The sequence below is a fragment of the Homo sapiens genome, chromosome 15 (genome assembly GCF_000001405.40).
Source record: "Homo sapiens chromosome 15, GRCh38.p14 Primary Assembly".
Lineage (NCBI taxonomy): Eukaryota > Metazoa > Chordata > Mammalia > Primates > Hominidae > Homo > Homo sapiens.
This window is the reverse complement of record NC_000015.10, coordinates 57,997,528-58,016,019: the sequence shown is the minus strand read 5'-3', so window position 1 is coordinate 58,016,019 and position 18,492 is coordinate 57,997,528. Positions and strand designations below refer to the sequence as shown.

The 18,492-nt window shown below is 37.4% G+C and overlaps 1 protein-coding gene across 4 annotated transcripts in view; it reads left to right on the top strand.

Moving 5' to 3' along the window:
• The window catches only part of ALDH1A2 (aldehyde dehydrogenase 1 family member A2), a 112,283-nt gene that overhangs the window by 49,692 nt on the left and 44,099 nt on the right, over positions 1-18,492 (top strand). For 3 of the 4 annotated variants that reach the window (NM_170696.3, NM_003888.4, NM_001206897.2), the window contains 3 exons: positions 1,739-1,843; positions 2,022-2,162; positions 5,242-5,371. In NM_170696.3, coding sequence (NP_733797.1) covers positions 1,739-1,843; positions 2,022-2,162; positions 5,242-5,371 — 376 coding nt within the window. Of the gene's footprint in view, positions 1-1,738; positions 1,844-1,996; positions 2,163-5,241; positions 5,372-18,492 lie in introns of those variants that run through there. The other variant, NM_170697.3, reaches the window with a different exon arrangement.

Below are 18,492 nucleotides of genomic sequence, written 5' to 3'. Positions count from 1 at the left end.
AAGAAGTGGATCCTTAATGAAACTAACTTTTTAATTTTCTCCTTTTGTTACCTGGACTTTATACTGTGTTCAAAGGAGCATGAAAATGTAATGAGCTATCAGCTGTGAGCAAATTTATTAAATAGAGTGAATGAAAAGAGAACCAGACCAATAATTTAAGAATTCTAACTAGCTCAGGCTTGGACATTAACTAGTTCTGTTTCTTTGGGCTGACTAATCCTGGAAATTATGTGTATTGGAAAGAACACATTGTTGAGTCAGCCACAACAAGAACCTGCTTCTTTGGACTCAAGCTCCCTGCCTCTCAATTTTCTCATGTGTAATAGAGAGAAAACCCTGCTTCACGGGGTTATTGTAAGTACTAAATAAACTACTAGAGACTGTCAGACTCTGGAGGGCTGGAACTCTCTTAACCATCTTTATTTTTCCTGTGACTAGAAGTTATCTGAGTATTTATTGGGTAAATTTTGTTACATGTGTTTATGAACTGTGTATTATAAACTGTAAAATGTACAATTACAAGGTCATTTTGTTTGTATCAATACAGCTGTGTTAAGTGCTCTACAAATTTAAGGTATTTTCCTTTATCTTAAAAATCCTTTGGGAAAAGAAAGTTATAGTTTAATCAGTGCCTCCTTCTACATGGGCTCATAGTTTTTATCAAATCAAGGAAAACATGTAAAAGGAAAGCTTTGGGACATTTTCTAGAATTTGATATTTACCAAGTGTAGATTTATATTTATTAAGCCTCATCTCTGATTATTTTTTAAATGGCAGGCACTAAATAATTATCATTGTTTTTGTCCTAAATTAGATGACTGACTGGTTCATAAGTTCAGAAATTTCACTGTGGTGCTGTAAATTTTATAGAGTAAAACATCTTCGTATGTCCTCTAAGATTACATGGTCTAAAAATATTAGTTTAGGTTTCTCACTCAATAAGAATTTAAAATTTTTCTGGCCTTTTCTTTTCCCTTGTCCTTTAACTCATTTATTACAAATCTTGTGAGAAATTGACTTGAATAATTTCCCAAATCTTCAGTCTCTTTGCCATTTTAATCTCAATTTCATACATAGGGAGACCAAGCCTTTTAAGAAATCCTGGGGTGATCATTTGAAAATTACACCCCACTTGCTAACTCCCCATCCCCATCTTTTTTGGCTCTGCAAGATAGCCTATTCAGCAAAGGGAAATAAATCTAACTTGGATTTACACATATAACTTGTTGAACTAACTAGTTAGTTTGGTTAGAGTCATTGTTCAGGACCTGAGTATAAATTAGGTGAATGCTTATTGCAGCACCATTCAAGTTTCCTTGAGAAGTCACTTAGGCCTGTGGCAGAGAAAGTAGGATCTAAGGCTTGATGACTGTAAGTTTGATCTGCTATTTAACCCTCATGGATACTAGCCAGAGCTTGGGCTATCGATAACTCTTGCCTTAGCATCAGTGTATGATTGTATGTATGTGAGACACTCTATCCTTATTTGTATCTTTAGTTAGTTGACAGGTTCATGAAAGGTAAGAACTGTAGTTAGCCTTTGGATGATGTTAAAGCAAAAATATAGAGGAAATTCCTAAATTGGCGTTGAGTCTAGAAGGGTCTCTTAAAACACTTCAAATTGTATACTTTTATTATACAACAAGTGTTATTACCATAGTAGTTCCGTAACACTTGGCCGTTGACTGGCTGCTTATCACCTGTGTCACAGATCCCATTCTGTTATCTACTCCCTTAGATCTTTATAAACAACGAGTGGCAGAACTCAGAGAGTGGGAGAGTGTTCCCTGTCTATAATCCAGCCACAGGAGAACAGGTGTGTGAAGTTCAAGAAGCAGACAAGGTATGTCTTTTGTAGATAAAAGATTTCCTATGAAATAACTGCCTTCAAACAGCAGAGCAGCAAACATATGCTCTCAGTACACCACTACATGCTCATGCTTCACTTTTTTCATGACAGTGGATGGTTCTTCCTTTATTTGGAGTGTTTTTCTTCAGTTGTGCCTCTTCCTCTCTAACAGGCAGATATAGACAAAGCAGTGCAGGCAGCCCGCCTGGCTTTCTCTCTTGGTTCAGTGTGGAGAAGGATGGATGCTTCAGAAAGGGGACGTCTGTTGGATAAGCTTGCAGACTTGGTGGAACGGGACAGGGCAGTTCTTGCAGTAAGTAACCTAAGAAAACATTAAGTCTTTAACCCACATTTGCCATTCTGCTGAAATTTACATTCTTCGGCTGTATTTTATTTTATTTTTATTTATTTTATTTTTTGAGACGGAGTCTAGCTCTGTCGCCCAGGCTGGAGCGCAGTGGCACGATTTCAGCTCACTGCAACCTCTGCCTCCCAGGTACAAGCGATTCTCCTGCCTCAGCCTCCTGAGTAGCTGGGATTACGTGCACGTGCCACCACACCTGGCTAATTTTTGTATTTTTAGTAGAGACGGGGTTTCACTATGTTGGTCAGGCTGGTCTTGAGCTCCTAAAAGGATACTTTGAAGCAGACCTGGGGAAAAAGCAAAGGAATAGGTAATACATATGAAAAATGAGACATGTTTGGATTTGGGGATCAGATGGAGAAGGAGAAATGGAGGATCAGCTGAATATCTTTTCTCACTGAATTTTGAAGAGAAAACTGGAGCTTGCCATGACTGGTAAGTACCTTCTTTTCTAAAACTCCCCCTCCCCATGACAAATTAAAAACAGTCAAGCAACAAGAGAGTCACCATGCTGCTTGCAGAAAACGAGTATCAAATGATTCTTATGAGAATGAAATAGAACAAGTTTTTACCTCCCCAGAGTTAACCTCTCTTGAGTAAAAGGAATCCTTCAGAACCAGAGGGGATGGTACGGACCTCTCATACACTTCTGCTCCGTTTGCCCTGTCATTCTGTGAGCCAGTAGAAAGGAGAGACAGCAGGAGATAGCAACTTCCTTTCACTAAAACAATGATTTTCCTCACATAACGAACTTCTCCTGCCCTAATGGGTTTTGTTGTTGTTGCTGTTTTTAAAATAAAAGTCAATTTCTTAGAGAATATAAACTTTTTGGAAACTGAAAGCATTTAGGAATGTATGCACTATACATTTGGGATCTCCACCTGGTATCAATGAATATTTAGGGTTTCCTTGTTCAGTCAGGGCATTCAAGCCATGAGTACTATATCCTTTCCCCTACTTGGGAAAATAGGTCACTATTGGGCTTGCTTCTGGGGAAGGAATCATTTTTTCCCTTTCTCAGTGTCCCTCCTACCATAGTTCTTCCCTTCTACCATCCCCCTCAGGAATCTGTTCATAGTATGGGAACAAAATGATTCCTTTATGGAAATGGTTTGGGATTCTAGCTATATATAACATTTATGTGTATATAAAAATATTTTCTAATCTGGCACTCTAGGGAATACTCTTCCAATGAGGTGTTTATTCATACTGTGAAAAAGGTGTTTCATGGTGAAGAAATTCCTCCTTGCAGATTCACAAGACACTGGGCATATTAAAGGCTCAGGAAAAGCCTACTAAATGCTTCTCAAGCTTATTTGAGTCTCATCACCATTTTTCTGGCTAACATACCAATATCATGCAAAACCAAGTTTTTTGGGACACATTACTTGTCTTTTCACTGGATTATCATTTTCTTGAGAATTAAACTTGTATTTTACCTTTTTTTGGTAATCCTAGCATGGTTCTTAGCACATAAATGGCAAATGAGGGCACATAGGTTGTCAATAAATGACTGTTTAATTGAGCTAAAGATATATGATATCTATAGCATTGGATTAACACTGTGCTAGAAGATGATTAATTAATTTCTCCAGTTATATTTTCATATAATAAAACTCAAATGCCTTTCTTTTTCTTCTCTGTGTCTCACTGATCAGGTCTCTTTTCCTACCACACCTAAATGAGATTCCTGTTTTAAACACTCTCAAGCTATGAGAAAAGTGAGTTTTAGTAAGAGGTAGCCTGTGGAAGAAAGGGGAGCTCCTGACTGGAAAACTGAAGCTAATCCTGCATCCAAAGTAAACACAATTGAAAATAGTCCTAGAGCTGGCAATTGTCAGTGGATTTGACTGGTGTCGGCAGCTCACAGGGACCATTTAGGCAGCCCAAATTCTGGTTATTGACACTATTCACTCTAAGCTGTGCAGATTTTGGTGCTATGCTAGCTGTATAGAGAATGTAATGCCTATCTTGTAAACATATACATGTTCTAAAAAGTACTAGGAAATAGTTTGATTCCCTTTTTTAAGGGTGAGCCAATATACAGTGATAAGTAACATGATATTTTTAAATAAGCTTCATTTTATACACATACTAAGTAGATAAATTACACTGGAAGTCATAGTATTTTCATCTCATTGATTGGAGAATATTTTAATTTTAGCTTTGTCAGAGATCAAATAATTTTCACACCAGTATGTCTTATAAAATACACTTGTAGGAAAAAAAGAAAATTACAAACATGTTTGTTAATTTCATTTGTCGAACTTGTAACACCTTTAATATTTCTCAAGTCAAAATACTCTTCTCATTTCAGCGTGTTCATTGTTTTTGTTACGGACTTAGCCAGTTCAGGAACATGTCGTTAAAATAACAATGTTTATAATGTAAAGCAGTTCAATATTGCTATTTTTATTAAATGGAGCAGATATTTCACTCTTAATAGGTAATGGTTGTTAATGTAAATGTTTACAAAAAACCAGCCTTTAAGTTGTTAACATCTGGGCTTCCCTAGAGGAGATCTTGTTTATTTGGTGGTAATAAATAAACTTGCTGTGCACCATGGATATTCCATTTCTCAGCAGGGGTCTTGGCAGCTGTGGAGAACACTTTCTATTCTCATCAGTTGCATAAAGAGCCCATGTTTCTGCTCCTCTTTATGGATTCAGATTACTGGTGTAGATGCCAAAAAATCCCCAGTGAGCTCTGATCATTAATATAACGGAAGCTGTTTTGACAAGCAGAACATTTCTTTATCATTAGTTAAAGAAATATTGTGTTAACGTATTTGGATAGTGGTTACTGGAAGCACAGGAATATGCACATATATACTCATTGTGGTTTTTACTAGGAACTAGACCAAACTGGCAGTACTAGAAATCTTTTTATTTGAGAATTCATAGTTGACCAGGTATGCAACTCCATATGCATTTGTATTCTCTCTCTTCCTTTTTTCTTCTGCTCTAGAAATTAGTGTATCGCTGGAAAGTTCTGGGGACTTAGTATCTCTCCATTTCTCTTCCAACAGACCATGGAATCCCTAAATGGTGGCAAACCATTCCTGCAAGCTTTTTATGTGGATTTGCAGGGCGTCATCAAAACCTTTCGATATTACGCAGGCTGGGCTGATAAAATTCATGGGATGACCATTCCTGTAGGTATGTGAAATCTGAGTACGTTGAAAAGGAAAACGTGAAACCACCAGAAATGCGCTTTGGCCACCAAACACAAACAGCAGTCACACAGAATACAGATATGAGCACACTTACAGCAGTTAGAACTGAGTGAAGAACCAACCAAATTATGTCACTGACTCTGACAACATCCCTTTTTCTATAGATAGAAATATATAAGTACAGGGGCATGCCACTTAATACATCATTCATCTAAGGAAGAGGTATGTATTTGTCAGCTGGTAAGTGGTCAGCATTGTGCTAGATTAGGTGCTGGGGTAGGTATGAAGGGGCATTATTGGGTGGAGGGAAGTCATGGAAAATTCCAACGAGGTTAAGACTTGCTCCTTGCCCTCCTGAAACATATAAGATCTACTCTTTGGAAGGAAATATTCTAAGTGTTAACAGTTGTCTCTGAGTGGTGAGATTATGGCTGATTTTCAGTGTCTTTTTAATATTTTTCTCTACTTTCTATATTTCTCGAACGGCCGTGAATTACTTTCATAATCTATACAAACAACACTAATCCTAACCCCTTTTTATTATTAAGATTCAGGTTACATGACAGAATCAACAATACAAAAAACTTAAAGGCCCCTATAGGAGTGTTATAATTGGGTGCTAAGTTGTGTACTTTACCTGTCAGTGCTGTAGCCCTTTAAATGAGAGGGAAAGTATGGAAGACTAAAGCAACTAAAGCAGTCAGTGAAGAGATTTTTATCTGTGCTTGAATACTAGTGATAGCTAATACCAATTGAGTGCTTTCACAGCAACCCCAAGAGAAAGGCACTGTTACAAACATCTTCAGTTTACAAAAGTGGAAAGAGGTCTGGCGAAGTAAAATTAGTTTTCCTAATTCACAGAGTAAATAAGTTTTAGAGCTAAAACTTTGACGTTAGAACCTAGGCTTGTAACCACTTCATTAGAGAATTCAAAATAGATCCTAGGAGGAAGAGATATCCTTATAGGAAAGGGATGGACTGAAAGAGATAGTAAGTGGTGAATAGACATAAGGAAAGGAAATGCACATTTATTGAGTGGATACTAGATGCCACTTAGCACTGTGCCAGGTGTTCTACCTGTGTTCTCCAGAAGGCAGTCTGCTTTCCATGGAGAGTGCATAGTAGCAGGATTGGAAAGTAATGCTCAGGACTTCGAAGTGTCTCTTTTGGGCCTTCTTAGCCAGGCTGAGCAGTACTGATTTACTAAAAAAGGGAGTGGTTTGGCTGATAGTGTGGATGGCTGGGAATAGTTCTTCTCCAATTTAATGTGCTCATGAATCACTGAGGGTCTTTTTCAAGTGCAGTTTTTGACTGAATAAGTCTGGGGTGGGGCCTGAGACTCTGCATGTCTAACCAGCTTCTGGTCCTCTGCATTGAGTAGCAAGGAGAGGATGCAGCAGAACCAAGTTAGGTGGCTGTTGTGATGCCTCATGTAGGTGTGGTATGACAAGGGTAAGAATAATTTACAGTGAGAATGGAGATGATTTAGAGACAAGACTTCCAAGGATTATTTTTTAAATTGCCCCTACAAATGATGATGACATGTGGAATGTTAGTTTTTAGAAAATGGGTTTCTGATTGTAGGGGCTCTTCCCTTCCATCTAGAGGTTTTTCCCTTGTTCAACTGACTGAGAAGGGTGGAGAAGATTGCCCTTGGGGAAAGTCAGAATCTTAGTTCAGTTCTGACTCTAAGGATATTACAGAACAGCTGTTTTCCAGCATCACTTGCAAGATGTGGGGATGGCCTAAGTGAGGTAGAAAGTCACTATTCGTTATGAGCATACCTATTAGAGGGCCTGAGAATTAAAACCTTTGTCAACAGTGGGACACATGTCAGTCTTTTTAGGTGGGCCTGTCCTGTATCAGTACAGAAAGGTAAATTTACAAGATCAAAGTCCCTAGTTGTTGGTTTTTTTGGTCCCCACTCCACCTGTCATTTCATTATTAAAACAACAAATATGTTTCAGGTGTTTAAATATCTTTTCAAACTATTTACAAAGCTCTGAGGAAGATTGTGAAACAGAAGGCAATGCACATAGATCTCTATTTGGCCTAACGGTACCTTGGTTTTCTTTTACTTCCTCAGGAGGGAAGATCCTGATTAGATAAAGCTAAATATTGATTGACATCCCTGATAATGTTTGAAGCTTTAATGTAACTTGATCTGGCAATAGAGGTGGTTGGCCCATAAGCCTCACTGTTTTCATCTGATGCGTTTTGGAGATCCTGTGGATGCTTATCTACGAGTTATAAATACAGGGCATAGAAAAGGCTCTCATAGGGCTCTCACAGTAGTCTTTCCCCACTTTACTCATTAACTGTTGTTCAGTCAATGAAGGAAAAAAAACGATGAATTCTCTTAAACTCTAAGTAACTGTTTTTCCCCAAAAAGTTTTTCTGAAAGTGCATTTAGAGTCATACTAGGATGAGGTACCCTCCCTGCCATCAGGCCTGTTGACAGAATTCTCAGGAGGCTGAAGTTTGGGTCATAAGAGCTCTCTCCATGGTGTCTCAAACAGATGAGGGAAGGATGGAGGTAGAGGTTAACTTGGCAGCTGTCCTCTCTTTTCCAGTTTTAGATACATTTGGGCTTGCCTAGAGGCCACTTAGAATTCAGCCAACAATGTCTTTAGCTAGTCTAGTGCTTAGTGAATGTAGCTGGACTAAATCAGGGGAGTCATAGGGGAAGATCACAGAAAGGGGTATCGTAATCATAATTATTCACTTGTTCTCAAATTTGTTCAGTAAATTAATCCATTTGTATTTGTCTTTTGTAACTCCATAATTTAACATCAGCTTCATTTTGTCTCTGCATACTTGGCTTTTTTTTTTTTCACAGTGAAGTCTGGAATATAGAAAGTCCGTTAGTCTTTAACCATGAGATCTTTATTGTGCTAAATGCATTTTCCTACAAAACAACCTAATTTTATGTTGGGAATTATAAAGAAATAATGTACTTTATATTTGCATAGAATTTAAAAGTATAAAATATTCTTTTATGTACAATATCTATGTGATTCTGTGTGTGATCTGATGAGATAGTCTGGATTTTAAATGGTATTTTACCCATTTTACATCTAAGAAAATAAGACTGCAAGGGTTTAGTGTCTTGTAGAAGGTCACATGGCTAGTAAGTGGGAGACGTGAGATTCAAACTTAAGTGTTGTTCTGCCTAAGCCATGATAAATTCTCTTCTTATGGAGATTGGTTCAGCAAGGCAGGAAGGTGGCCCTGATGAAGTCTTTACCCCAGTGCAGATTTTTATACTAATATGATGAAGTCTTTACCCCAGTGCAGATTTTTATACTAATATATGGTTTATTCTCATCATTCATAGTAGTTATGTTTTATAAAGTTGTCACGAACACTGAATTAGCAAATATGGAACTATTGCTCCTAGGGGAAATAAAAGATTAGGTTCCTGTGAGCTTCTGATCACAACATTCTTGTCTGCTGATCAGAGAATGGCCTTGATTTATGTGTTTCTGTTGAAAGATTCTTTGTTTAATATATATTGTTGATTTATGAACACTGAACTCATGGCCAACCAGACAGAAGTACTATAACTGATGCCTGAATGAAGCTTGTGTGACACATGTATTTTCTCTGTAAGGCACATTACAGCATTCTTGCACTTAGGAACACTAGACAGCACTCAACACTATGCTTAGGGGCCATTTTAAACAGCAAAATTGTGAACAAAAGGCACAAAAATATGAAAAATGTGGCACTAAACAGACCACAAAAAAGGACACTTTTTTTTTTTTTTTTTAACAATATGAGAGCTGAAGCAAGAAGGCAGAGTGTCACCTTGCTCAACCCCAGCTGAGAATTTGTGCATCAGGTGACTCAAAATTTTCCCTGCTTTGGGGAAATGCAAATTAAAACCACAGCTGAACCACCTCACTACTGCAAAAAAAAAAAAAGTCCATAATTTAAAAATAAAAAAAATAGATGTTGGCGTGGATGTGGTGAGAGGGAACACTTTTACACACTGCTGGTTGGGAATGTAAACTAGTACAATCACTACAGAAAACAGTATGGAGATTCCTTAAAGAACTAAAAGTGGCACTACCATTTGGTCCAGCAATCCCACTAATGGGTGTACCTACCCAGGGAAAATAATTCATTATATGAAAAAGACACATGCACATGCATGTCTATAGCAGTACAATTTGAAACTGCAAAAATATGGTACCAACCTAACTGCACGTCAGCCAACGAGTGGATAAAGAAGGTGTGGTAAATATGCACCATGGAATACTACTCTGACATAAAACAGAATGAAATAATGGTCTTTGCAACATCTTGAATGGAGCTGGAGGCCATTATTCTAAGTGAAGTAACTCAGGAATGGAAAACCAAATATCTTATATTCTCACTTCTAAGTAAGTGCTAAGCTATGAGGATGCAAAGGCGTAAGACTGTTATAATGGACTTTGGGGAAGGATGGGAGTGGGGTGAGTGATAAAAGACTACATATTGGGTACAGTGTACACTACCCAGGTGACAGATGCACCAAAATCTTGGAAACCACTGCTAAAGAACTTATTCATGTAACCAAACACCACCTGTACTCCCAAAACTATTGAAATAAAAAAAAAAAAATCCCTGCTTTGGATATACATGCCCGTAAATGACTCTGAGAACACTCTGTACTTATTTTTGGGTTACAAATAAATTTTAGGTAGTAGGCAAGTCCTTAAATATGGAATCCACAAATAATGAAAATCGACTGTATCTAGAGCCTACTTTTCTCAAGATAGCATTTATGAAGCTTAAATGTTCTGGAACACTTGAGGTGGGGATCTCCCTGCCTAGATCCTAATCATATGGGTAAAGGGGGCTTTCATAGTGAGTGTCAGAGATAGTAACACAGTTCTGTTTGGTCACCCATAAAAAAAGAACCTGAAATAGGGTTTTTTGTTGTTAAATTTTTAGATGTAAGACTGCTTTACAACATTGAATTATACTCCATGGTTCATCCAGCATAACATCTCTAACACTAAACAACCAAAAAGAATGGGAAGAAATAAGCCATTATGTCTTTCACTCATTCCCATTTGGGAAGGCTAGGGAAAGGTATCATGTAATTGGAAGGGATTTTCTTTTACCTCCTTTCTGTGGCATCAACTTTGATCTCTTATTCCTTCACCCATTTCTTCATACATTCATTTATTCAGCAGATTTTTTTTAGCATCTGCTATGTTTCAGCTCCTGTATTAGGCATTGGGTTACAAAGGCAAATAACTAAGATGTTTATAGGACAGTAAGAAAAACAAGTAGCGAAGCAACTGCAATATAGTGTGATCTATTTAGATATGGAAGCATGAAATTTGGTGGGACACCATAGGAGAGACATCTCCTAGTATTAAGGCTTCCTGGAGAGGGTGGTGGGATGTCTAAGTGATAACCTGAAGGACAAGTTAAGTGAACATGGAGTCAGGGACATTACAGGCAGTGGGAGTAGCTGGCACAAAGTATGAGGGAGGAGAGTACCATGAGTTAGTGGATCTAAAAGTATAAGCAGATATGAAAGACAGTAGAGCCCCAAGTCTGGGTCAGCCATGCTGCAAGTTTTATTCTGTAGGCAATAGTGAGTCACCAAATTAAATAGGTGAGTGCCTTGATCAAAATTACATTTTAGGAATTGCATCAAATCTGTATATTGCTTTGGAAAGTATGGTCATTTTAACAATATTGAGTCTTCTAATCCATGAACATGGGGTGTTTTTCCATTTGTGTCATCGGTGATTTTTTTCATTAGTATTTTGTACTTCTGCTTGTAGAGATCTTTCACCTCCTTAATTAAATATTGTTAGGTATTTTGGAGGGGCTATTGTAAATAAAATGAACCTAAGTGCTGTTCAATGGATGACTGGATAAAATATATATATATATGTATATATATACACACACACACACACGCACACACACAAATCATGGGATACTACACAGCCATAAAAATTATGAAATCATTTCTTTTGCAGCAACATGGATGGGGTTGGAGGCCATTATACTGAAATAAGTGAAATAACCCAGAAACAGAAACTAATACCACATGCTTTCACTTATAAGTGAGAGCTAAGCGGTAGGTAAACATGGACATACGGAGAGACCTAATACACATTGGGAGCCTTCAAAAGGAGGGAGAGTGAGAGGGGGCTGAGGATTGAAAACTACCTGTTGGGTACCACGTTGACTATTCTGGTGATGGGCGCACTAGAAGCCCAAGGCTCATAGTTATGCAATATATCCATGTAACAAATCTGCACATAAACCCGTTGAATCTATTTGAAAAATTGCATTTTAGAAAGAGCACTTTGACTACAAATGGATAATCAGTTAGAGACAGCAAGTACTTGTTTTATTTCTCCCCATAAAGGATAGATTTCACTTTGACTACAGATGGATAATCAGTTAGAGAGAGCAAATACCTGCTTAATTTCTCCCCGTAAAGGGTAGCCTTCAACTAGAATACTTGGGAAGGAGACAAAAGGGTTATCTCATGACCACTTTTGAGCAATGAAAAAGTGGGTGGCTGCTTCTCTCTCTGAATTGGAAATTTCTCCCACCACTCTTCATTCTGTTTCGCTCAAGGCCCACAGCTGGATGTTATTGCACAATTATGCAATACTAGTTTGATTCACAAGAGTCTTGATGTTGTTTCCTTTACAACACTATCCATTATTTCCTGCCATGGTACCCAATGGAGCCATTGTCTCTGACCATAAATCCTAAGCTTTGACCCTTTTACGATGGCAGTGCCTAATTATGATGATAAATAATAATCATTACTATGACCTATGGAACACTTTTTTACCTGTTACATTATCGCTAATGTTATAGCAGCCCTAAAGAAAAGTATTGTTTTCTCCATTTTGAGTATTTTTAACCTGTATTCAAATCCTCTTCTCTCACGTCTACAACCTCTTTGTGATGAAGGAAGGATCAACGCTTGGTTTTCATTTACTTAGGGAGAAATGGAAGTTAATTTGTATTGCCTTAGATTTTTCTCTGTAGCAAGTGTTGATTTTACTGATTTTATGTAAGCAGAAAAAAATGTCCATGTTTTAAGCTGAATTCTGATATTAAAATGGACTTACGATATGTTAGCATATAGAAAAGGTTAAAAACTACCCAGGTCATATATAACTTTCCATTTCACCCTCTTCCAGTTTAACCTGTTAAAGAATAGGATACAAATACACAAAGATAGTGATTCAGATCCTAAGATTTTGCCTTGAATCAGCTTGATCTGGTTTACTGTCATTAACAAATGCATAGGGTGAAATCTGAAGTATTCTTGTTCCATCAGAATAAGAGTGAGGGGTGATTTGCTCTGCCCACCTAACAACAACCAGGGCTTGCTTGTTAGTGGGACCTGAATTGATTGTGACAGGAGGTCATGAAGTCAGCTTCACAAGGAACCTTTTTAAGAGGTTGAAGCTGAAAAGGGCCTCAGGGATCCCTAAGGCTGATCTCCTGATTTTACAGAGAAGGTCCAGAGAAGTAAACTAACTTTTGTTACGATCATGTAGTGGAATAGTCGTAGAGCTAAGCTATCTTCATGACAGACTCAGGAACATAATCTAACTTCTTAGAAACTACCAGCAGACTTCTGGGAAGAAAAGCATCAGTACACTTCATACTAACATACAGTTTCAGCGTTTGTATAGGCATTTATAGAGTTTATCATCATAGTTATAAAATGTTGGGTGAGGTCTGTTCAACGTCAACATGATGGGAATCTGCTACAGTACATACATAATGGAATAGTTCAATGTAATCATCTCATTTTTTAATACTGTGGTCATCAAAGAATTGCCAGCTCCTTGAAAGGTAATTCTGTCTACAAATTAGGGATTGGAAGATGACCTTCATTCACTGAATTGTGTTACAGATTTTTATGCTATTGAATAAAATCGTTTTTATTGTTACTAGGTATATAAAATTTGCTACAGTTCTTGTAGTGTTCTTAGTGTTATAATTGGAAGCTATTTGACTTCCATATTTGACAAATTTCTCAATTTCTGGCACATTTCAGATTCTTCTGATTTTATCACTGTTTACAGATTGCTTAGTCATACTCACTCTAGTTTATATTAATATATAGGATGTGCCAATGCGAGATATTTTTATGAGACTAAAAATTCCATCAGTTTCTTTCAGGCAACTGTAAGATCTGATTTAAGAAGTAATGTTTGCCTTGAATGAATTATCCAAATAATTAAATTTTTCTAATTAAATATTTCTCTCTCTTCTGTGTAGTTTGATAAGGCCCCATCAAAAAACATAGAACAGTGGCTCAGTAGTTCGCAAATATAGTAGAGGCTTATTGTACTGTTGATCTCTAGCAGCAAGGGCTGTTCTTAATATAATTATAGAAATGGCTCAATGCACACATACTCAGTAAAATTTAATTCACAGCTCAGCCAAATTCATAGCATAATGAAGTATTTAATTGTAAGATTTTTATATTTTCCATAAGTTGTAAACTACTATTTGGTCATTAAAAGCACCCAGGTATCAAAACTCATCAGAAAAGTTACCTCTGACTGGGTCTTAAAATAACCCCCCTTTAAGAGCAATATCTGTTAGTCTGCGTTTTACCTTCTGAGTGAAAGGGAAAAGAGACAGAGATCAAAAGTCCTACACGTGTGACTTAGTATTTGTTTTGATCTCTCATCTTTTCTTTAGTTTTCTCCATCATAGTTGTGTTCTCACCTATTGACCTACAATGTGGTATCCAGAACATTTTCTGGTGTCCCCATCAAATGCAGTCCTTTTTTATGCTAAGTCTGAGCACTCTCTGTAATCCCTCATATTTGCTAAGAAGATCCAAAACCATTCATACCCTACAATGGAGTATCTGAATTTGGGTGGAGACTGTTTTTATATCAGGCTGTTGAGCTTACAGCACAAAGCTAGAGAAATGAAGGAAACAACCTTCTAAGTCATCCTGCCATACTGAGAGACCATTGTTAGCATAAAAGATGGAAAATTGGCTTTAATTTTTTCTAGGCAGAGAAGAGTACTCATTATGTATCATCTGAGGTATAGATGAGAGGGAGAATTAACACTGTCTCCATTTCGAGTTGGCTCTGCCTAGATGAAAGGGAGAGAGGCGCTTAGTCCTGGGCTCACCTATTCCAGGGAATGTTTCTCTGTAGTGTTCCCTTTATAACAAGTTTCCATGTGTTCTGTGTTCATATTACAAAAGAGTTGTCATTGAGGTTTTTTCTTTGTTTATTTTTACCCCATTTGTGATTGTTCTTGACATTATACTCTAATTCTGTGATTTGTGATTATCCACCTAAATCCAACACCTTCCTCACAAGAGTCATTAATATGTTTTTATGGGTAAAGAACTTGAAGTCTGAAGACCCAGATCCAAGTCCAGGAGCCTCAACCAGTGGTGCCACTTTGGACTTAACCTCTCTGTGCCATATTTTCTCTGTTTATAAGATGCTGATAATGATAGTTGCTCTATTTTTTTCAGAGAGTTTTGAGTGTAAAATGAGATAAGGATGTGAAAATTATAAGGCTCTACAGAAATTCTAATAGTGTTTTCATTCTTTTTTTTTTTTTTTTTTTAACAATTTTGAAGTATTAAAAATACAGATCAGATTCTCCTACACTATATACTCCTTTCAGGAAAATTAGTAGAGTTATTAGAGAGACAAAAAATAAATAAAAATGAAGGCAGACAACTGTGAAGCAACCATAGGGCATCATAATACACGTGGACTCCCCTTTACACTCCTGATCTTGCTACTCAGAGTGTGGTCTGTGGATCAGAAGCATGAGCCTCAGCTGAGAGCATGTAGAAATGCAGACTCTCTGGTCCCATCCTAGACCTGTTGATTCAGAATCTGTATATTCACGAGATCTCCAGTTGCTTAGTGTGTACATTCAAGTTTGAGAATCACCATATAGCATCCCGTGTAGCACTGGTAGCATTCAAGATGATTCTATACAGTAAGCAAGTAAACTTTTTTAATTTTAATTCCTTGGTTTGAAGAATATTAGAAGAAAATATTACCAGCCCATGAAACCTGTTATTTTAGATTTTAGATTTTCCTTAAGGCTAACAGGTAGCTATTTACATATTTCTAACAGGTGAGTTAATTTAACAGAAATTAAGTAAATGACAGAGCAAATGATACTTGGAAATGGCAAAAATTATGAAGATGGCTTTTATAACTGGTCTTACGGTAACCCTGATTTAGAAGTTCAGTGGAATTCATAGTAGGGTCTTAGTAGCTGTGAATGACTTCTGGGGTGCTGTTAGCCCTAGCTGAAGGTGCCCACAGAAGGCTTAGCTCTTGTGTTTGTCAGGCACCCCAGATCAGACTAGGGGTGTCACCTTTCACCATCCACGTGAAAATGCAAAGTGAGATTACAAGGTCTAGGGCCCTTTATTTTATTTTAGTTCTGGATTACCTGTGCAGGTTTGTTACACAGGTAAACGTGTGCCATGGTGGTTTGCTGCACCTGTCAACCCATCACCTAGGTATTAAGCCCAGCATGCATTAGCTATTTATCTTGATATTCTGCCTTCCCCCACCCCTCCCCAGAAAGGTGCCAATGTCTGTTGTTCCCCTTCCTGTGTCCATGTGTGTTCAGCTCCCCCAATACATGAAAATATGTGATGTTCGGTTTTCTGTTCCTGTGTTAGTTCCTGTGTTAATGGCTTCCAGCTCCATCTATTGTCCCTGCAAAGGTCATGATCCCATTCCTTTTTATGGCTGCATAGTATTCCTTGATGTATATATACCACATTCTCTTTATCCAGTCTATCATTGATGGGGATTTGGGTTGATTCCACGTCTTTGCTATTGTGAATAGTGCTGCAATGAACATACACATGCATGTATCTTTATAACAGAATGATTTATATTCCTTTGGGTATATACTCAGTAATGGGACTGCTGGGTAAAATGGTATTTCTGGTTCTCGGTCTTTGAGGAATTGCCACACTGTCTTCCACAATGGTTGAACTAATTTACATTCCCACCAACAGTGGGAATGTAAACAAAGTGGGAAATAGGAACAGTGTTCCTATTTTTCCACACCTTTGCCAGCATCTGTTGTTTCTTGACTTTTTAATAATTGCCCTTCTGAGTGGGGTGAGATGGTTTCTCATTGTGGTTTAGATTGCATTTCTCTAATGATCATTGATGATGAGCTTTTTTTCATGTTTTTTGGCTGCGTGACTGTCTTCTTTTGAGAAGTGTCTGTTCATGTCCTTTTGCCCACTTTTTAATGGGGTTATTTTTTTCTTCTAAATTTGTTTAAATTCCTTGTAGATTCTGGATAGTAGACCTTTGTCAGATGCATAGATTGCAAAAAATTTCTCCCATTCTGTAGGCTGTTCACTCTGATAGTTCCTTTTGCTGTGCAGAAGCTCTTTTGTTTAATTAGATCCAAATTGTCAATTTTTGCTTTTGTTGCGATTGCTTTTGACGTTTTCATCATGCAATCTTGCCTATGCCCATGTCCTGAATGGTATTGCCTAGATTTTCTTGTAGAGTTTTCATAGTTTTGGGTTTTGCACTTAAGTCTTTAATTCATCTTGAGGTAATTTTTGTATAAGATGTAAAGAAGGGGTCCAGTTTTAATTTTCTGCATATTGCTAGCTAGTTTTCCCAGCACCATTTATTATATGGGGAATCCTTTCCCCATTGTTTGTTTTTGTCAGGTTTGTCGAAGATCAGATGGTTGTAGATGTGTGGTCTTATCTCTGATTTCTCTATTCTGTTCCATTGGTCTGTGTGTCTGTTTTTGTACCAGTACCATGTTGTTTTGGTTACTGTAGCCTTGTAGTATAGTTTGAAGTCAGGTAGCATGATGCCTCCAGCTTTGTTCTTTTTGCTTAGGATTGTCTTGGCTATATGGGCTCTTTAGGTTCCATATGAAATTTAAAGTTATTTTTTCTAATTCTGTGAAGAATGTCAGTGGTAGTTTAATGACAATAGCATTGAATTTTTAAATTACTTTGGGCATTATAGCCATTTTCATGGTATTGATTCTTCCTATCCATGAGCATGGAATGTTTTTCCATTTGTTTGTATCCTCTCTGATTTCCCTGATTAGTGGTTTTTAGTTCTCCTTGAAGAGGTCCTTCACTTCCTTTATTAGCTGTATTTCTTAGGTACTTTATTCTGTTTGTATCAATTATGAATGGGAGTTTATTCATGATTTAGCTCTCTGCTTGTCTATTGTTGGTGTATAGGAATGGTTGTGATTTTTGCACATTGATTCTGTATCCTGAGACTTAGTTGAAGTTGCTTATCAGCTTAAGAAGCTTTTGTGCTGAGACAATGGGGTTTTCTAGATATAGGACCATGTCATCTGCAAAAAGAGACAGTTTTACTTTCTCTCTTCCTATTTGAATGCCCTTTATTTCTTTCTCTTGCCTGAGAAAGAACTGGCCAGAACTTCCAATACTATGTTGAATAGGAGTGGTGAAAGAGGGCATCCTTGTCTTGTGCTAGTTTTCAAGGGGAATGCTTCCATCTTTTGCCTGTTCAGTATGATATTGGCTGTGAGTTTGCCATAAATGACTCTTAATTATTTTGAGGTATGTTCCATCAATGCCTCTACTTTATTGAGAGTTTTTAACCTGAAGGAATGTTGAATTTTATTGAAAGTAGCCTCCTTTCTTTGTCCCTTCAACTCAGTGCTCTTTTGGGAAGAGTTCAAGCACAAAAATAGCGTTTATTTTTTAATTTGCTACTTAGACTAACTGTAGGGACTAGAAGATTCTGTCTCTTTCCCTGTGTTAGCCTGTAGCTAAATGCTTTTCAAATATGTGAACGGTTTATCCAAGAGAGTTTTAATTCCTCATAACTCAGTTTCTCTTGAGACACAATTATGGAGTCAAACTCAATTCCTCATGAGGTCCGACTTTTAAGATTTTTGTCTACATTTTCTTCCCTTTCACTTTTTTCGGTAACTTGTGATATTATTTAAGTAAAACAACTAAATGTCTAAGCATCATAAAATGTGTAGGGGGAAATGGTTTATGAATTGCCATGCAGTGCTTGTGTAGTTGCCTTGTGAGTTTTTTTTTCTGAACCATTCCAGGTTCCTACATGT